The following is a 22,121-nucleotide window of genomic DNA, read 5'->3' as shown; positions in this document are numbered from 1 at the left end:
CCCCACCAATCCCTGTTGTATGTCTGATGTTGTAGCTCCAACACAGTAGCTATTTATCTTTGTGCTTGCTCTGTTTATGTCAGTCTGTTTTCAAAAATAGAATTGAAAGAAAAATTTTTACCCATATTTTTAATAAAAATATAAAACTAAAAATAGTCTGAGAAGCAGCTGGTAACATATAATTAAGCTTGTGGATTCAAAAGTCAGACTATCTGGACCCAAATCTGGTAGCCTCTTCTAGTTGAGTTGCCAGATAAAATATAGAAAACACAGTTAAATATGAATTTCAGATAAATAATGAATAATTTTTAGTATAATTGTATCTCATGTATTTTTATTTGCCAAATCTGAGAACCCTACTTCTACTTACTATGTGACATCAGGCAAATGAGTTAGCCTCTCTGTGTCTCAGTTTCCTCATAAGTAAACTGGGGATAATAAAGGAACATTGTGAGTATAAAATAAATATTAACTACTATCATTGTTAATTTATTTAAGAAATAATAGCAGACAGAATATTCTCTTGGGACAGTGAAGAACATGTCTTTATATTTGATAAAGTGTGTCTTATCCTAAAATATACAACTGAAGATGTTGCATTTGAGTAGCAGCTGCTCTAGACAAATCTTGAAAATCTCAGTGGCCTCATGCTGAAGATTTATTTCTACTTTATGTAATGTGGACTATAGGTCAAAGGCCAGATAGCTCTCTCTTATATGGAAGATGTGGCCTCCAAAGTCACTACAGCAGAGGAAGGAGATGGAGAAGGCAGGCCCCCTGTTAGCAACCTTGACCTGAAAGTGATACGAGAAGCTTCCCCTAACAGCCCATTGGCCAGAACTAGTCACATGGTCCTAAGCTAACTGCAACGGAGACTGGGAAATACAGGGGAGCATATAGATTGGTGAACAGTAACCACTTATCTGCCTGGCTGCTATAGACAACTCGACTTTTAACTCCAGTGTATGCAACGGATTCAAAATCAGAAGACCCTCCTTGTTCTGCTCTTTCTCAAGCAAGAGAAATATAGCCAAAGGATTTTTCTTTCCCTGGGAGGTTCGTTTACTCCCCAACCACTGGAGAAACAAAGAGATTTCTTTTTTTCTTCCTGTCAGGAGCAGGAAGTTGTTCTAAGTTCAGTTGATTATATTGTTGACTTAGAAACTTTGAAACAGAATCCAAAGTCAAACAAGAGAAAAGGGAAGCGGGAAATTAAAGTTTTCTGATTAAGGGCCCACGGATATCACAAGCAGTAAGGTCTTTCCAATTTGTAGCACATATGCCAGATCTCATTTTTCATTTTGGATTTGGAGCTTCCTAAACCCTGATTCTTCCAGCATTTGCAGAGTAATTCTCAGAAGATAGACAAAAGCCTGCACAGGTCCAATCACTGGGGTGAATCCAGGTGTTTGCCTGGAATGGAATTTCACCAAAAGGAATTCAGTCTGCAGCTTTGCTTTCAGGAGAATGACACATGGATCAATACAGCAGCCAGCACCAGGCTCACTGGCTGGTCCCGGGTTGAAGGCCAATGCCATCTGCCAGGCTGCCAAGGTTAATGAAGCTGTGTTGTTCTAATCTCATCTTAAATGAGGTTTTTGAGCTGTGAACAGGGAAGGAGAGCGGGTGAGCCTATCATGAGTGATGAGGCTTTGTCAGTTATACCCCATGTGTACGATTCATAAATCAGGTAATATTTCCTGATCTGAAAATCTGTATTTGCAGCTTTGGTAATGATTTTTAGATAAGTTTTGAGGAGTTGCAAGTAGGGACTTGAAGAAAACCGCCAACTGATAAGCCATCTGTGTGTGCTAGGAAGAAGTTCATTTAATCTTTCTACTCTGAAAGAAAAGGAAGGTACTGTTGGCAGATCCATACAATATGTGTGATGGCCAGCGTGGCAGAGACTCAAAGTTGGGAGGAAAATCGTTTACCCAACATTATCATTCTGCCTGAATCATCATCTAAAATTTCATAAGCATTAATTCTGGTGCCATAATAGTCTTTAAAAAGAAAACTTTCCCAAAATGATAGACTTGTTCTGTATTTACTAACATCACTGTGAGGCATTTGCTAGAAGTTTGGTAAAGTCAAGGAGACTTAGTGGCACTTAAATTCTTTTGAGAGCTATATTGATCCCTTTCACCTATCCTTGGCTTTGCCTCTGTCCAAAATCCAGAAACCTCTTACAGTTCCAGGTTCATAAGACATGCTAAAAACTTTCTCCTTAGGGGAAGTAATAATTTTTAATATGAAGGCTATTAAAATGCCAACAAGGAGTTTTTCATAATATGCTAAATTGTTTTACCTCTACCTAAGCAATCTTTACTTAACTGAAATGTTGATTTTTTTTTATGTCATGGTTTCTTTCATGAAGAGTCTGTGCATTTCACCTACTTGAATGTAATCCTTCCCAGACCAGCTACCTTGTGCACAGAATTGGAAGAGCTATAAAGTCACATTTTTATCCAGACCCTTTTACTTGACGTTAATATGGCAGTTGACACTGAGATTATTCTACTCTAGTTGAATTTCTAAAGAACTCTATCTGCTCTTCAGCAGACCCATTAATCAGTTTGATTCCCAAGTCTGACCTCTCCAATACATGGCGTTATGTTTTCTCAGCACTTCCTCCTCCTTGGTATTGCACCGGATTCTTTTGAATCTCATCCTGTCTGTTCTCTTTTTTTTTTTTTTTTTTTTTTTTGGAGACAGAGTCTCACTCTGTCACCCAGGCTGGAGTGCAGTGGTGCGATCTCAGGTCACTGCAACCTCTGCCTCCCGGGTTTGAGCAATTCTTCTGCCTCAGCCTCCCGAGTAGCTGGGACTACAGGTGCGTGCCACCACATCCAGCTATTTTTTTTTTTTTTGTATTTTTAGTAGAGATGGGGTTTCACTGTGTTAGCCAGGATGGTCTCGATCTCCTGACCTTGTGATCTGCCTGCCTCGGCCTCCCCAAGTGCTGGGATTATAGGCATGAGCCACCGCGACCAGCTCTGTTTGTTTTTAATACTGACATCAATTTTTTTGGATTTGGTCAGAAATTTGCATCCCTAGATTAACCTCGAATATAATATTGTCAAAGTGGCAAATAGGAATTAGTTTTGTTTTTAGTGTTTAAAAAGTCCTGGATCCCCACCAAAAGCTTTACCCAGGAACTGCTGTAGTTAAAATAGAATCCACTCATCTTTCAAGAGTTGTTAATTGGGGGCTTACCATGGGTAGGATTTACTCAGATGTTAGACTGATTTAGAGACAAATGTAGTGTGTCCACCCCTGTTGTAGAAGCTCAAGAGAATAAAATTATCTATAGAAGATCATTTTTATTTCAGACTCACTTTACCAGTCATGATTTTGAGTATAAATATAAGTGTCCCAAGGTCTCCAAGGTGACAGGAAAGGGTGGAGGAAAGGAGGGAAAAGAGAAGATGGTCGTAAGGCAAAGAGGCTGGTTAAGCATTATTTCAGTCTCCTCAGTCCTCTGGAATTCTTCTCATGCAATTTCACAGATAATAGAAACATCAGCTTAAAGAAGTCTGGCAACATTTCCCTGGTCACACAGCTACAGTGTCCGAGCCACTTGGTGAACTGCAAAGCCTATGCTCTTACATCTCATCTCATCTTTTTTTTTTTTTTTTTTTTTTTTTTTTTTGAGACCAAGTCTAACTCTGTTGCCCAGGCTGGAGTGCAGTGGCCTGATCTTGGCTCACTGCAACCCCCGCCTCCTGGGTTCAAGTGATTCTCTTGCCTCAGCCTCCTGAGTAGCCTGGATTACAGGTGTGCGCCACCATGCCCCGCTAATTTTTGTATTTTCAGTAGAGACGAGGTGTCACCATATTGCCCAGGCTGGTCTTGAACTCCTGGGCTCAAGTGATCTGCCCGCCTTGGCCTCCCAAAGTGCTGGGATTACAGGCGTGAGCCACTGTGCCCAGCCTCTTCCATCTCATCTACCAAACTGCCCCACAGATGGGGAGTGGAGTGTGGAGGATGATGGGTGAAAAACCAGAACAAGTGGCTCTGACCAGTTGAAAGGCCTCTTATTCTTACTCTTACAGAATCTGAAAAGTTAAGTAAAGTCAAAGAAAGAGTAGTGAAATGATTTTAACTTTTGACTATTGTTAACAACCAAATTAGAAGGCATTGGTACAATCTGTTAGATTTCTAGATGTGCTTATCTTTACCAGTCATTCTACATCTTGGTGTCTCCCTGAGAGAGATACTTGCACATTGGTAGAAAGAAGCATGCACACTAATAGTGAAATTGTACCTAATGTGCACAAATTAGAAACAACAGAAATATTCATTAATGGAATAATTAAATAAATTTTGATAAATCTGTAGTATTGAATACTATGGAGATAAGGTAGGTCCATATATGTTGAACTGAAAAAGGATTTTCAAGATATATTAAGTGGAAAAAAATCAAGTAGCAGAATACATATAGAATGATCATACTTACGTAAAAAATTAATTTAAAAGTCTACATTTCAGAAAAGGGAGTGAAGAGTTAAGAGGGAAATAATGCTTTCAAATTTGGGAGGGAGAGAGCACAGGTGGTTTCACGTAGAGAAAATATTTCAATTGGGCCTTGGAGGATGGTGAAATGTAGATATGGTCAGGATTTACCCTAGGCTACCTCGCTAATAAGGGGTGGAGTCAACATATGAACTCAGTTCTGTCTGAATCCAGAGTTGGTGCTTTTAACTAAGATTCTTCTCACAACACAATTGTAAACTGAATATAAGAGGTAGCTATAACTCACATATGTAGGTACACGATATGCACGTGGATTTTTTAGGTATGGTAGGTACTCTCCTAGAAATCCTGTGGAATACCCAGATGAATTAGAGCACCTGGCCTTAATAGCTTCAAGTCTAGTAGAGCAAAGAAGATGCGTTTACAAATCTTTTTAATATATGAAAGAAAGTTAGCCAGGCTCTAAAGCAAAATCATAGGGAAATTCAAAAAATGATTGGTAAACCTAGAGAAAAGAAACATACTCCCAGCTGAGGGGCTGGAAGATGTACCAAGTATAATGTATTCAGCTACAAGAAATAAATGAAGTAATAGTGATTTAAACCATAAGGTTTAGTTTCTTAGCAAGAAATCAAATGGTACAATTGTGTACCACATTCATCTCAACAATGTCACTGAGGACATAAGTTCTGTGATGGTTAATTTTATGTGTCACCTTGGGTAGGCCACGGGATGCCCAGATATATGATTAAATGTTATTTTGGGGCATGTCTTTGAGAAATAAGCATTTGTATTGGACTGAGTAAAGCAGGTGGCCCTCCCCAGTGTGAATGGGTGTCACCAATCTGCTGAGGGCCTGACTAGAATAAAAAGGCAGACAAAGGCTAGATTTGCCCCTTCTGTTAAGTGGAAAAAAAATCAAATAGCAGAATACATATAGAATGATCATACTTATGTAAAAAATTAATCTAACTAATTGACTACTTGAGCTGGGACAAGAATCATCTCCTGCCCTTGGTGTGCTGGTTCTCAGCCTTCAGATTCAGACTGGAATCTACACCATCAGCTACCTGCTCCTCATGACTTTGAACTACATACACTACTGGCTTTCCTAGGTCTCCACCTTACAGATGGCAGATCTTGGGACTTCTCAGCCACCATAATCATGTGAGCCAATGCCTTTTAATAAATATCTCTCAGGTCAGGGGCAGTGGCTTACACCTGTAATCCCAGCACTTTGGGAGGCAGAGGAGGAGGATTGCTTGAGGCCAAGAGTTTGAGGCCAGCCTGGGCAACATAGCGACACCCCATCTCTACAAAAATTAAAATTAAAATAAATTAGCTAGGCATGGTGGCACACACCTGTAGTCCTAGCTACTTGGGAGGCTGAGATGGGAGGATCGCTTGAGTCCAGGAGTTTGAGGCTGATGGGAGCTATGCTCAAGTTACTGCACTTCAGCCTGGGTGACAGAGTGAGACCCCATCTCTGAAAAAAATATAGATAGATAGATAGATAGATAGATAGATAGATAGATAATCTCCTGATGGTTCTGTTTCTCTGAAGCACTGTGACTAATACAGATTACCCCTGTCCTTTCCAGTCATCCTTCATCTTGTCATAGTCCAACATGGCAGCCACAGCTTCCGGTGTCTCAACCACATTCAAGGGCAGGAAGCAGAAGGTAGCCAGGGAAGCAAAAAAGGTTGGGGAGCTTAATGAAGGACACTCTGCAAGTCTGAAAATAACTTTTTCTCAGATGCCTCCTCCAGAAGTTTCCTTTTATATTTCTTTGGCCAGAACTAGGTCATAAGTCCTGGCTCTCCCCTGTATACTTCCTGACGGGACACTGACAGTGAGAGCAGGATTCTGGCTTTCCTACCCTCTGTAAGAAAACACCAGCTAGGAAGAAAGAGCTTCTTGGTACTGGGAAGCATCCAAGAGTGTCTGCCACCGCAGCTTATGGGGAGGAAGCCATAGCTGGGTTGGGTCTTAAACAGTAATGAAAAGGACATTTATTAGATTGTCTCCCCAGTGTAAGTAGGAGCTGCCCAAGCCATATAGTCTTTTCCCATTCTCTGGGGATACATTGTAATAGGTTTTAATAGATCCTGCCAAATTACCCTTTTCTTTTGTTTGTTCCCCTCTAGGGGCATTTCTCACTTTCTTCCTTCTATTGAAGCTAATTGTGTAAGCATCTAATTCCTGCTCTGCTGTCGGTTTGACATTGTTAATTCTCTGCGCTCAGTTTCCTGTGTTAGTCAAGATCCCACTTATTGTATTAGAGTTTAACACCAAGTATTATTAAACATGTCTTAGAAAACTGAAAAGGCAAAAAAGGAGCCCAGAGTATCCCACAGGAAGTAATCGCAGGAAGCTGCTACCACCCCAGCTGTTGGAGGGACAAAGAGGTCAGGATTGTTAAAACGTAACAGAAAACCTTAAAAGAGAGAGATGGGGGTAGAAACGGGAAGAGAAGGTAAAAGACTTGGGAGAGGGACCCCACAATGCTGGATCTTAGGCTTTTGAGGAGGGGATACCTGCTGGTGTTGGCATCTCTGAGAGAGTTTGATGCACCTGGTTCTGATAGTGGGAAAAACTGCAACTTGGAACGAGCTACTACTCCTGGAACCAAGGACTTGCCAGCTTTAAACCCCTGATGCTAGAGAGATCCCGACAGTAATAGCAAGCCAGACCAAGAAGAACAAGTCCCTTTTCTCTCCATCCTGCAAGCTCCCTCTAGTGCCCCTTACTGGTGACCTAACAAAGAGCAGCTGGCAAAACAGAAATTAGGTTTGTAGAGTATCAGCTCCAGCATCACATGATGGCAGAGGATGGTAGATTTGGAGCTAAGAGCTCCAAACAGCACAGCCTTTGTTATTATTATCACATCCTTATTAAGTAGAAGTAATAATAGAAGCTACCTAATAGTGTTACTCTGAGGGTTAGATGATGTAAACCATGAGAAGTAAACAGCAGAGTACCTAGAGCCTAATAAGCCCTCAGGAGGTATTAGCAGATGTTTTGGTTTTGTTGTTTTCTTTTGTTTTTTGCTATACTGTATTCTTTTATTTCATGTGTGCAAATTTAAGTCAATCAGTAGTGCTACAACTACAGACATATAGCTATACTGACAATTTTTAATATTTAGTTCACTTTTAATAGTAAACAACATCTCAGTATAATGTTCAGAATTTTTTTTTCTTTTTTTTTTTTTTTTGAGATTGAGTCTCGCTCTGTCACCCAAGCTGGAGTGCAGTGGCGCGATCTCAGCTCAATGCAAGCTCTGCCTCCTGGGTTCACACCATTCTCCTGCCTCAGCCTCCTGAGTAGCTGGGAATACAGGTGCCCGCCACCACGCCCAGCTAATTTTTGGTATTTTTTTTTTTTTAGTAGACACGGGGTTTCACCATGTTAGCCAGGATGGTCTCGATCTCCTGACCTCGTGATCCGCCCGCCTTGGCCTCCCAAAGTGCTGGGATTACAGGCATGAGACACCGCGCCCGGCCCAATGTTCAGAAATTTATCTAACTGTTAGACGTTAGCTAACATGGATCTTTTTCTGAAACAGCGCTGCCAGGTTTAAAAAAATTAATAGACATTGTGTAGAACAGATTTGAATTAACATAAAAATTGAAGAGGTAGTGCTAAAAGTTCTCGTATTACTTTTACACTATTTTTTTTTAAACTGCATCCTTTCGAAAATTTCAACTTTTATTTTAGATTCAGGGGTACATATACAGGTTTGTTACCTAGGTATAATATTGCATGATGCTAAGGTTTGGGTCACTCAGATAGTGAACATAGTACCCAGTAGACAAGTTTTTCAGTCCTTGTCTCCCTCCCTCTCTCCTGTCAATAGACACCTGTAGTCCCCACTATCAATTGTTCCCATCTGTATGTCCCTGTGTACCCAATGTTTAGCTTCCACTTATGAGAACATGCTATATTTGGTTTTCTGTTTCTGCATTAATATCTTAGGATAATGGCCTCCAGCTTGCATCCACGTTGCTGCAAATGACATGGTTTCATCCTTTTTTATGGCTATGAGGTATTCCATGGTGTATTTTTATGGCTATGAGGTATTCCATGGTGTATATGTACCACATTTTCTTTATCCAGTCCACCACTGATGGGCACCCAGGTTGATTCCATGTCTTTGTTATTGTCAATAGTGCTGTGATTAACATATGAGTGCATGTATCTTTCTTGTAGAATGATTTCTTTTCCTTTGGGCATATACCCAGTAATGGGATTGCTGGGTCGAATGGTGGTTCTAGTTTTAGTCCTTTGAGAAATCTCCAAACTGTTTTCCTGTTAGTGGATGTTATCACTGTTTATTCAACAATTATTTCTTGTGTGCCTACTACGTGCCAGGCACAGATCTAAGTCTTGAGAATACAGTGGTGATTCAGATAGGTGAGGTCACTGGCCTTGTGGAACTTGCAATCTGGTAAGGGGGTGTCTGTAGTAAACAAAATCATTTCAGAAAGTGATCGGTGGTGAGGAGAGAATAAAACAGTCCGGCAGCTTTGAGATGCAGAGAAGAAAGTAGCTACACTTCGAACAACAATGAAAAGACAAGCCACAGACTGGGAGAAACCGTATATGAAACACATATCTGATAAAGGACTTGTAACCAGAATACAGTCATGTGCCACTTAATAGTGGGGCTACATCTGAGAAACATGTTGCTAGGTGATTTTGTCAATGTGCAGGCATCATAGAGTGTACCTCCACAAACCTAGATGGTATAGCCTACTACACACCAAGGCTATATGCTACAGCCCATTGTTCCTTGGCTCAAACCTGTACAGCATGTTACTATCCTGAATACCCTAGACAATTGTAACACAATGGTAAGCATTTGTGTATCTGAACACACCTAAATATAGAAAAGACACAGTAAAACTATAGTATAAAGGAGAAACAGTGGTACACCTGTGTCGTGCACTTACCATGAAAGGAGCTTGCAGGACTGGAAGTTTCTCTGGGTGAGTCAGTGAGTGAGTGGTGAATGAATGTGAAGGCCTAGGACATGACTGTATGCTTTATACACTGTAGACTTTATAAACACTGTACACTAAGGCTACACTAAACTTATTAAAAATGTTTTTCATTCTTCACTAATAAATTAACTTTAGCATACTGTAACCTTTTGGCTTTTTGTAAAGCTGTACAAAAATATTTTCTTTATATCCTTATTCTATAAGCTTTTTTCCTATTTTAAAAACTACATTTGTAGTCCTTAAACGTTTCTTATTAAAAACTAAGACACAAACACACCCTAGGCCTACACAGGGTCAAGATCATCAATATCACTGTCTTCCACCTCCACATCTTGTCCCACTGGAAGGTCTTCAGTGGCAATAACATGCAGGGAGCTGTCATCTCCTATGCTGACAATGCCTTCGGAATACCTCCTGAAGGACCTGCCTGAAAGTGTTTCACAGTTAAATTTGTTTTAAAGTAGGAGTATACTCTAAAATGATAATAATAAGTATAGTATATTAAATATATAAACCAGTAATATAGTCATTTATTATCAAGTATTATGTACTGCACATAATTTTATGTGCTAGACTTTATACAAGGGGCAGCCCAGTAGCTTTGTTTACACCAGCCTCGACACAAACATGTGAATAATGCATTGCACTACAATGCTAGGATGGCCATGACCTAACTAGGCAATAGGAATTTTTCAGCTTCATTATATTCTTACGGGACCACCGTCGTATAGGCAGTCCGTCATTGACTAAAATGTTGTCATGTGGCACATGACTATATATAAAGAACTGTCAAAACTCAATCATAAGAAAACAATCCAGTTTAAAAATGGGCAAAAGGTTTGAACAGACACTGCATTAAAGCAGATCTACAGATGGCAAATAAGCCCATAAAAAGAGACAAAACCCTGTTAGACATTAGGGAAATGAAATAAAAACCACAATGAGATTCCACCACACGGGTACTGAAGTGCGTTTTTAAAAAACTGACAATACTGCTGACAAGGATACAGAGCAACTGGAACTCTCATATATTGCAGATCGGAATGCAAAATCGCACAGCCACTTTGGAAAACACTTTGGCAGTTTCCTAGAAAGTTACACATACACTAACCATATGACCTAGCTATTCCTCTCCTAGGGAAGAATAGTTTGACATATTCATTATTTTTTTCTCTATATATACATTTTCCCCTTACTCTTCCCCTCATTTAAGCAGGTAGCAGGTTCTGGGCTTCTGAGCCCCAACTAAATTTTGTGGCAGAGCAGAAAGCAGAGTTAGCCTGTCTTTTTAAGGGCAGAGGCAAAGAGGGTAGCAGTTGAGAGTGGGCTTGGAGAGGCATGAAGAAGGGTCCTATGGGGCCAGCAGGAAGAAGGACCAGGGTTCAACTTCCTGGCAGCACTCTGAGAAGATGGTAGAATCCCAGAGAAAAATGGCTCCATGGAGCATCTCAGGCAGCACAGCAAAGGAGTTCTAGTCCCCAAACTTCACACCGAAGAAGCCACCATCTTTGGAACCAGCCTCCGTGGATGATGACAATGGTAAAGCTTTGTGGCTATCTGGCTGTGTGACCTTGGAAAAAGTCACTTAATATCTCTAAGCCTCAGTTTCCAAAATCAGTGGAGAGGAGGAGGTGAACCTTACACCCGGAGCTACCATGAATGGTTGGGCAAACCATACTTTGCAAGCATGGTAGCTCACACCTGTATTCCCAGCACTTTGGGAGGCCGAGGCAGGCAGAGCACTTGAGGTCAGGAGTTCAAGACCAGCCTGGCCAACATGGTGAAACCCTATCTCTACTAAAAATACAAAAATTAGCCAGGCGTGGTCGCATATGATTGTAATCCCAGCTACTTGGGAGGCTGAGGCAGAAGAATCACCTGAACCCGGGAGGCAGAGGTTGCAATGAGCCGAGATGGCACCACTGCACCCCAGCCTGGGTAACAGAGTGAGACTCTGTCTCAAAAAAAAAAAAAAAAAAAGAATGCCCTGCCAAGGGGGCACAGAAAAAAACAAGTCCAGAAGTCCAGCCTTTCCTCCACTCATCAGCCCTGAGTCCTGGGACAGCGTTGGGTCATTGCTTTCCTGGCCCACGTAGAGAAAGTAGCGTGGGCTACCCATGGCCTTCACTGTAGCTGCACAATACAGCTTTGATATTGTGTAATTTGAATTTTTTCCCCTCTAAATGACTATTTCTAGCAGTCTCTCTGAAAAAAAAAAAAAAAAAAACTTTCATAAATATATTCCTTTTCCCCCCAAACACACACGTACATAAATTTCATTATAAGAAAGTTTTTACCATATCAGGTACAACCTCCAAGCACCCCAAAGATATCTGCAAAGTAAGACTATTTCCTTTTTTTCCACCCTAATTTATTGATACAACAAATGAACAGGGAGATTTGTCCAGCCAATAGCAAATGAAATTGGATAGTAATCCACCTTCAGGTTTCTGGGTAGCAGGCCTTGAGGGAAACTGAGGCTACAGGGGAATTTCAGATCCAGCCAACGTGTCTCCAGGAAAATATGCCCTTTTAGTTCTGTTTCTGAAAACCACACTGACTGTCTCAAGCTGTGGGGATCGGGAAACTGTTGATTGCCTCCTTCCAGAAGGCCTCCTCCCTCACTTGGAGAAACAGTTCTGAAGTTGCAACAACTCCGCTCAGCTGGAGTTTCTCAGAAGCCCGGCATTCACCCATGACTGAGTCCTGACGGAGCGCTCTGTGGGGAAGCCAGGCAGCGAACACATCCTGGGGAAATCATTGTCCTGCCCCCTGCTTGGCCGCGGAAGGCGGACACCCGGTTTCAATGTTGTCTTTGTTACCAGCTCCAGTAGGCGCTCTGATGTGCATTTTAATGAAAATGGGACACCTGCGGCAGCGCTCCCGATCAACAGCAAGGAGGGAGAAACCCCAGATCTGGACCGGAGTCCTGGGGATCCCCTTTCAAAAGGCAGCCGGGCATTCCAAAGAGGCTGGGAAGAAACAGCCCTTTATCCGCATCGGGGGGCCCCCTGGCGTGTCGCCGGGACCCTCAGCGGCGTGTCCCCCACCTCCTCCTGGCCCCCTCACAGGGCTCCCAGGAGCAGCCGTAGGAGCGGCCTGGGATATTTTTTCTATCTTCCAGCCTGAGCTACACGAGGCAGTTGAATTAGAGTCATTACTGTAATTTAATTTCTCCAAATTCAGAGCAATTTTCTTTCCAAATATATCAGGGGCCAGCAAAGGTTCAAAGAATTGGAGAAACCATTCCAAATTCAGAAAGGTTAAAAGAAAGACCAGTCATAGGGTGAACACTACTACTACTATCATATTTCATAATAATTGTATATTATACAACTGAATGTATTATATGGCACGTAATATATATTATTACATATGACAATGTATAGTAATAATCCCATAAAGATATATCACAGTTATCATAGTATTATATATTTATGTATAGACACATAATGTGTCTAACATTCCACCCTAATTTATTGATACAACAAATGAACAGGGAGATTTGTCCAGCCAATAGCAAGTAAAATTGGATAGTAATCCACCTTCAGGTCTCTGGTTAGCAGGCCTTGAGGGAAACTGAGGCTACAGGGGAATTTCACGTTGAGCCAACGTGTCTCCAGGAAAATATGCCCTTTTAGTTCTGTTTCTGAACACCACATTGATTGTCTCAAGCTGTGGGGATCGGGTCCTGTCTATATTATGTATAGACACATTATACATAATGTGTCTATACATAATATATAATATACTATGATAGATACGTTGTATATATTAGGTAATATATATAACATTCAAAATGTTCAAAAGTAATTTTGATAATGTTAAAAAAAATTGGAGGATCAACCCAGAATCAAAGTTTTAAGAGGAGGAAGAGACAGAGGGTGAAAAAAAATATTATTTTTATAATTATTTTATGATAATATAGACTTAACATATAGTTACACGGAATATTGTGTATCATATAATTATTGTTTTATATGATACTATAAGATATAACTACATATTTTTATTATTACTAATATTGTTGTTGAAGATAACATCGATTGCTTGTCAGATGCTATGCTAGACACTTTCGAGGCATTATATTATTGAATTTTCACAATAGCCTCTATGATGTAGGTACTATGGGTTTTGTATCCCTTTAAAAAAATATAGTTTTATTGAGATATAATTCACATACCATACAATTCACCAATTTAAAATATACAATTCAGTGGATTATATTCAGTGAATATATTGAAGTATATCACAGAGTTTGTAGTCATCACCATAGTCAATGTTAGAACATTTCATCACCCAAAAGGAAATCCCATATGCATTAGCAGTCATTTCCCCGTTTCCCCCTCCCTACAACCCTAGACAACTCTGATCTGTTTCCTATCTATAGATTTGCCTGTTCTGGGCATTTTATATAAACAGAATTACACAATATGTCATCCTTTGCATCTGACTTCTTTCACTGAGCATGTTTCCAAAATTCATCTATGTTGGAACATGTATCAGTACTTCATTCTTTTTGATAGCTGCATAGTAGTCATTGTATGGACATACCACATTTTGTTTATCCACTCATCACTTAATAGATATTTGAGTTGTTTCCACTTTGGGGCTATTACAAATAACGCTGCTATGAATACTTATGTGCAAGTTTTTATATGGATGTATGCTTCTGTTTCTCTTAGACATTCTGTGTTTCACCCCATTTTACAGATGAGGAAATTGAGGTTCAGAGATGCTACATAACTTGCCCAAGGTCACACAGCCTGTGAATGCTCTGAGAGTCAAACTTAGCTCTGTGTAATGCTCTTAGTTACTCTGCTCTGTTGCACTCCATTTCATCAGAGGTTAAAATATGGAGGGCAGAGACACCCATCCCTCCTGGGTCTCTGGAGAGGTACTGAAGAAAAACAAAGCAGGAAGAGTTTCTGTTGCAGCTGAGAATGAACTTTCTCCTGTTAAGGGTAGTTAGTTAAGCCTGGAAGTGATTGCCAAGAAAGCAGTGAATTCCCTTTTGGGGATGAAAGATCCTCTGTGGGGTCTTTCAGACACAGCAGGGATGCCTCACTCCCAGGAATGGGGTTTGGCTCAAGCCTGTCCAAATGGCAGCCCTCATTCTGCGTCAGGTGCCCAAATGGTATGAGAGGGGCCAGGCCGCATTTCAGGCCTCTCTCACTGCTTCTCACCCTGACCCCACCCCAGCCCCCCAAGCCTGTTTCCAGGGTCTTGTCTCCACACGAGGTCCCCTAAACCTCCTCCCCATACGGCTGGAGCCCTGACCTGTCCTGTTCCAGTTCCCTCCCACTGTGGAGGCAACAAAGGGAGATGGCCAAAGCCTAGCTAAACCAGGGCTGGGGTTGGGTGTTGGTGGGGGAGAAAGGTGATGCAGTGCAGGGAGGGAGGGAAGGATTGGGGGAAGGTCCCAAAAGGGCCCAGGAGCCTCAGATTACCCAGGGCAGGGCAGGGCATCGGGAGAGAACCCACAATGCCTCCCCAGGGGAGATGTTGTTCATCCGAGCTCATGGTTATAAAATGAGACCTCTGTGCCTATGTGGCTGATGAAACCAGTGCCGTTTGATATATTTCAACAGAGCATGGGGTTTTTAAAAAACAATCCTACCATAAACATCCTGAATCCTAAAATTGTTATTGTACCAGTCATAGAAAAAGCAAAATCCACTTTTTTTTTGGTGTGGGGGTGGTGCGGACCTAGTCATGAAATGTAGTAGAAACCATTTCAGTTTTAAAGTCAGTGAAGCACCTGTCCCCCATCTGGCTATATGAGCCTGAGCAATTTTCTTAACCTTGCAGACCCTCAGTTGTTTTCACACATAAAATGGGAATAATAACAGCAGTACCTGCCTTTCACAGTTTCTGGTGCAGGATCAAATGGACTTATGCAGCTTTCCCCAGTGTACTTAGCAACCACACTTCTACAGGTTATTGTAATGTGAGGAGCACACACAGACTGGTGATTTGGGGGAGCAGTCATTTAAATCAAGCTAAATAGTTTCCATTCTGACACGACTTCTCCGAGCATTTAATGTATTGATCTTCATCAAGAATATTGAAGAAAGATCCCATTCTGTTGCATTTTGCAAATCTATTTAACCACAGAAATCTTGATATAACATCCAGCGTAGAGACTGAAAGCTAGCGGTCCATGGGCCAAATCTGGCCCACAGATGTAGAGTTTTTTGGCCAGCACAGTTTTGCCTTTCAAAGTTTCCCGTATTTAAATATAGTGAGATTTCACACATACATCACAAGATTTCACATAAAAATTAACTTTCAGCTTCTCTTGAAAAAACCTAAAGATTAGGACAAACTGGGTCCTCATTTTCACATGGTGACACTTAACCAGAGTGGGTGGTCCACCCAGGCATCCAGTTTGCCACTCTTGAGGGTCTAGTGCTGCTTAAATGCTGAGATAAGACATGTAAAAGAGTTAGTTTTGGCCTGGTGCGGTGGTTCATGTCTGTAATCCCAGCACTTTGGGAGGCCGAGTCGGGTGAATTCCTTGAGCTCAGGAGTTCGCGACCAGCCTGGGCAACATGGTGAGACCCCATCTCTATAAAAAATACAAAAATGTGCCAGGCATGGTGGCACATGCCTGTAGTCCTAGCTACTCAGGAGGCCGATGTGGAAGGATTGCTTGAGCCCGGGAGGCAGAGGTTGCAGCAAGCCAAGATCGTACCACTGCACCCTAGCCTGGGTGACAGAGTGAGAACCTGTCTCAAAAAAACAAAAAAGGGTGAGTTTTATCTACACACCCCTGCATTTAAATATTGTTGAATATCTGCTTATTATATCTTAGTCATGCATTATTGAACATGATATGTACATTATAAAGAATAATTTAACCAAGCATAATTTAACAAGATGAGATTAAAAATAAGTACAAATCAGAAGTTTTAGTCTTCACACTTAACCCTTTAGAGGCCACCGATACAGCTCCTCATACAGAGTTGGTGCTCATTTAATGATTATACTTACATGTAATTCTTGGTTCATGGGACCTGAAGATGTCCACCTTCCCCATGAAAATGAAAAGCTGAGCATGCAACCACCACCCCTACTGCTGACACTGAATGTGGATCTTGTGTTTTGGCACTCATCAGTCCTTACACGGAGATTGTGGATCGAGTGCTATTTAGCTTTTAGTTTGCCCTGGAGGGTATTTTTTCTTTCTTTTAACTATGCCCAGTAGCATAAACAATAGTCTTTTGAACCCAGGCTGTGCGTGAAATACTAATTTAGGCAAACGCCAATCTAAACAAACAAACAAAAAATAGGTTCACAACATTTTTTCTTTCAAATATTAGTGAAGTGCATGCGTTAGCCAGAAAGAGCCAGGAGAAAATTATACAATTTAAAGGGACTCTTCAAGTCTCGAAGCAGCCACACTCCATTATAGTTCCCAAGGGAGTAATATAATAGTAAATAGTAACTGCTTGTGAAGTCGTCTGAGAGTTTTGGATGAAAGACCATGCAGAAACGTGAAAAAGTGTTATTTAGTATGCCAGTTTCAGGGTTAAATGTTGGATGTTTCAACCTTATCCCCTACCACATTTTCAAAATAGCAAGCAGCAATGTGACTGGCAATATTAGGTTTTCCTCCTCTTAAAACCTAGTAATGAGGCCAAGGGAAGCAATTATGACTGGGCAGTGAAGTCTTCCCCTCCCCACCTCGCACCAGAACATTTTCAGTGCAACTTCAGGGGCCTCCCAAAGACTTAAGGAATCCCAGTTTCTGGGGATCCTGCTGTAGCTGCAGCCCATGCTAAGACTTTGGGTGTCACTGATTTGAGCAGTTGAAAAAGCAGCCATTCCGTGTTTCCTATGACATGGAGCCTGTCAACAGGATAGCCTCATGGTCAAGACTTTGGGCTCTAAAGTCACCCCTGTGTTCCAATTCTCACCCTACCACTTATCAGCTGGATGACCAGAGCAAGTGACTCAACATCTCCAGGCCTCAGTTTTCACAGCTGTAAAATGATGACAGTAATATACCTCACTTGTAGAATTTAAAAGAGAGAATGTATGTAAAGTGCTTGGCACAGTAGTCAGGCACATGAAAAGTACCCAGTATGTATTCCTTCATGTATTGCAAACCAGCCATTTCTCTTGCTTTTTTGCTCTCAGGATCAGAAATCTAGTTGTCCTCCTTTAATTTTTGAAGTTCCTATTTTTCAGCTGCTCTGACCCATGTTTCAGCAGCTTTGATCCATTTATTTAGCTGCTCTGTCTCCTTTATTTAAGCAGGGAGTTAGAAAACTTTTTCCATAAGGGGCCGAATAGAAAATGCTTTCACCTTTGTATTCCATACAATCCCTGTTGCAGCTACTCAACTCTGCCTTTGTAGCTAAAAAGTAGCTAGGGTCAACAAGTAAATTAATGGGTATGGCTATGTTCTAATAAAACTTTATTTACTAAAATAGGTAGCAGTAGGATTTGGCCCACAGGCCAAAGTTTGCTGCCTCCTGATTTAAGCTCTGTTTCTCCCTTAAATGTGCAAAAAGCAGGCAGGAGGCCACTTGCGAGAACCAAGTGTTCAGCACATTTTCTTCCAAAGGAACCAGGGAAATGAGAGTAACTTGTGTGGTTTTTTTTAAAGGGAGAAATTGAGACCTCTCTCCCAGCAAAAAAGTCACCTAGACTCTCTCTGCAGAGCAGAACAGTCTAGAAGTGGAAAGACAGGGGCCACTGGGGTGGGGAAAGTGGAAGTGGTGTTTGGTGCACATCAGACACCAAACTCTTAGACTCTGCTCACAGGGATCCATGCTCCTAGCACATGGTGCTACAGTCCCCAGTGTTCAAAATCCCTGGCAGATGGAGGAGACATCTGCAAATGTCTGCAACAACAGGAGCTTTGAAAGGGTTCCAGAACAATCCCCTCAAAATGCTCTTGGTTTTGCTATATGGAGAAGGTGCCAGACATTCCCAGAAGCCTGCTGAAATCTTTAAGAAATGGGCATTTGAAAAAAATACTTCCTAGTACCTGGTTGTGTCCCTCTCTAACAACCCTATACCTTTGACTTCCTCTGACATTATCTGCATAGGGCAAATATCTTCTCAAATCATCAGTTCCCCATGATGGAAATCATTTATGCCTGCTCTGTCTCCATTTTTCTCTGGAAGGAGAAAAGTCTTTTCTCGCTGCCCCCCACAACCCGCCCCCTTCAAGCTCTTGAGTAGAGAAAGAAATACTTTCGCAGGATGAACCAGGGAGCTTCTCCTCAGAAGTGGCACTATCTCCAATGTTCTTCTCTTCTTTTCATCTGCCCTGCCTTTGAGACCAGAAAACATCTGGAAGCACTGATTGCCTGGTGTGTCACAGATCCCTGAATTGGGATCTTCATGTTTGGGGAAGGCTCTCCAAAATGAAGTAAGGCTTCTCTACCTCCCCCCCACCTTTGGTCCCGTTGATCTCCCCCACTAACCCTCAACATCTGGCATAGCTCAGGTTTTTGGTGTCACTCTTCTGACACTCCAGAAGGTATCTCTGTGGTGGCATGCAGGGCACAGGCTCTTGGTGGTTTGCTTACTTATGTGTGACTCTTGGAAGGGTCCCTGTGGTACCAAGCTGATAATAGAACTGGGATTCCGCCTTGAGTGGAGATGCTTATTTTCCAACTCTCCTAACTGGGATAGATGTTTGATTAAAAGATTACGGGTCCCCATGGGAGCACGGATTCTGGTTTATTTGATGTGGGCTCAGGTAATAATCAAGCTATGAAATTTCCAGAAAATTATATGCCCACCCTCTGGGCTGCGCAGACAAAAGCTCTGCTTCTGCACACAAGAATGATAATACTAGAAGCAATTTTCCATTATCAAGAAGTTTTCAGACTTGAGTGTGTGTTAGAATAATCCAGAATGTATCTGGAATAGAAGAAAGACAGACAAAAGAAAGTCACTGGGCCCACCTTTGATTCCCTAGGACTGGGGGAGAACCTAAGGAACCCCATGTTCAACATGCACTCTGTCCACCCTCTCACCCACCTAGGTCATCCTAATGTGGTGAGTTAGGAACCACAGCTAGAGACGTGCTTGCTTTACCTGAGGATAGGGAAAATGATGGGCTAACTCTGAGACCTGATTCTTCAGACCTCAAGTGGATATTAATGACCTGTGTTGTAAGGATGGTTCTTGCCGAAACCTAACAACTCCCAAAAATTTCTCAAGGAAACTGACATAGGAGGAATCTAAAGATACAAAGAAACTTGAACCAGATGGCTTATTTGAGAATCTTTCTCTATCTTTCAAATTCATCAAACCACAGAGTTTACAAAGCATTTTCACATACATTATCTCATTTTTATTAGAGTTTCTTGATTCCTGGAGTCTGTGGACCCACAGGAATATGTGAATCAATTTTAGGGAGACTAAACTTGGATGATAAATTTTTTTTCCACTAAACTCTAACTAAAACTTAGCATTTTTTAAAATTATGAATGTAAGTAACAAGTCACAGTCCCGGCAGTACCTGTGACTTTGTCACCAAATGAAATCAGATACTTTCATATTACATCACTACTATTGTAGATATCTCAAAGTATCATTTAGGCTCATCACTAGCTTGAAAACACTGTGGTTTTTAGACCCACTGCTAAATCTTGTTATTTAATGCACTAACATAAATTTATTTTTATATTAATTGATTTAATACTTTGAAAATTGTATTTTAATACAATTGGTTTTGTTGGCAGTCCCATATATTTTATTTTTTTAAAAACACAATTCCAAGAAGGGATTTTTAAAAAATGATTTAAAATCCCTCATCAGATTATTACAATTACTTCTCGAAGATGGCCAAGTAGTTACTATTATCCTCTCTCCAAAGATGAGGAAGCTTAGGGAAATCTCAATTGACATGTCCAAGATGGCAAAACTAGTGGGTGACAGGGCCTGAACTCAAATTAGGTCCTCGGGGTTCCTTACTGACCAGTCAGCAATGTGGGGGAGAACCACAGCCCCTTTCGGTGCAGTAGCCAGCACATGGAGCAATAGTGAAGAAAAAAACATTGAGAAATTCTTGCATCTGGGGAAGGCTTTAGAGTAATCACTGGAACAGCCGGAGGATGAGCTGCCGCAAAGAGCTGGGCCTGTCACATTGGGGTATGGTGATTAATTGGTGCGGGGGAACACAGCCAAGAGCAGAGAAGCCACACCAGGCCACCATCCATTTGTCCATGCCCTGGGGTCAGAAATGGAGCAAATGGAATCTTTTATAAGAGAGGAAAGGGTGGATTGTAGCCATGGGGGAGTTCTGCAAGGAAATCACAGGTGTTTTCTTATTGCATTTCCCCCTCCCTAAGGACCTCTGTGTGTGCAGTTAGCAACAGAGAGGAGAGGTGGGGGTGTGGCTGGGCTGGGCTCTGCAATCTGTCATGCAACCCTCCTCCAGCTCTGTGAGCTATGGTAGTTTCAAATGAAATAGCAGAAACCATGTTCAACTCACAGGGAGCTGGGTCACTGGGAAACTCATTGAATTCTTTAGTTAATTTCAATAGGTGGACATGGTGGGCCTTGGGTTTTTGAGGCAGCCATTTCAGTAGGGTCACTCTAATCTGGGCCATGAGCAGACCTCTTCCCCACTCTGTAAGTCACCCCATCGCGGTGGTTCTGCAGATTCCAGTTCATGAGCAATTCTGCAAACTTTCCTTTCTCTTGAAGAAAGCAAGCAACCTACAGGGTTGGTTCAGTTCATTTCTTCCCATTGAAATGCTGGCGAGAGCATGTTGGTAATTGATATTCAGAAGCGTTATTGATGTGGAGGCACAGCTGCTGTGGATCAGGAGGTCATTGTTTTCCCTAACATTTTTTTGAATTATGAAATGATAGAAGATTTGGGAAAGTTTAAAAAAAAAAAACAAAGACAAAAATCACTTTTAATCTTACCCAGAAAAGCCAGTATTACTATTTTGGTGCATTTTTTTCTGGACAGGTAAGAAGAGAGGCAACTTCCCTATGCCCATTATGTTTAGAAAGCAGGCAAGTACAACCATTAGGTCTATTTAAAAAAAAAATCTCATTAGTAGGCTATAATGAACACAGAGTCCTACTATGTTGCCTTTTATGCCAGACAAAATCAGGTGACAGATTTTTATTTTATTTTATTTTATTTTATTTTATTTTATTTTATTTTATTTTATTTTGAGACGGCGTCTCACTCTGTCGCCTAGGCTGGAGTGCAGTGGTGCAGTCTCAGCTCACTGAAACCTCCACCTCCTGGGTTCAAGCTGATTCTCCTGCCTCAGCCTCCCAAGTAGCTGGCATTACAGGCGCATGCCACACACCCGGCTGATTTTTGTATTTTTAGTAGAGATGGGGTTTCACCATGTTGGCCAGGCTGGTCTCGAACTCCTGACCTCAGGTGATCCACCCACCTCGGCCCCCCAAAGTGTTAGATTACAGGCATGAGCAACCGCTCCCGGCCAGGTTCACAGATGTATTGAGAGGTCTTCCTTCTTTCTGTTACCCTTCTCTTCCTCTGTTCACCTCTCCATAGCTTCTCAGCTTCATCTTCTATCCTTCAAACTGCTACTACCAGAGACTTAGAACATAAATTCTAATCTAGATCCTCTAATTTGGGAGCCCTTATCTGCAGCAGACCATATTTTCCCTGTAGTCAG

General features: G+C 41.6%; 1 long non-coding RNA gene across 1 annotated transcript in view, besides 1 other annotated feature; it reads left to right on the top strand.

The window, feature by feature from the left end:
- LOC105377144 (uncharacterized) overlaps positions 1-22,121 on the top strand; it is a 192,342-nt gene that overhangs the window by 161,795 nt on the left and 8,426 nt on the right. The window lies entirely within an intron of this gene.
- Positions 11,793-12,343: an enhancer, noted in NCBI's record as "OCT4-NANOG-H3K27ac-H3K4me1 hESC enhancer chr3:66848705-66849255 (GRCh37/hg19 assembly coordinates)". NCBI's record gives its function as "activates a minimal SCP1, AML or CMV promoter by ChIP-STARR-seq in naive H9 embryonic stem cells {active_cell/tissue: H9 hESC(naive)}" and the evidence as "EXISTENCE:reporter gene assay evidence [ECO:0000049][PMID:30033119]".

Source organism: Homo sapiens, chromosome 3, assembly GCF_000001405.40.
Source record: "Homo sapiens chromosome 3, GRCh38.p14 Primary Assembly".
Lineage (NCBI taxonomy): Eukaryota > Metazoa > Chordata > Mammalia > Primates > Hominidae > Homo > Homo sapiens.
Note: the sequence above shows the minus strand (reverse complement) of the source record. Positions and strands in the feature narration are given on the sequence as shown.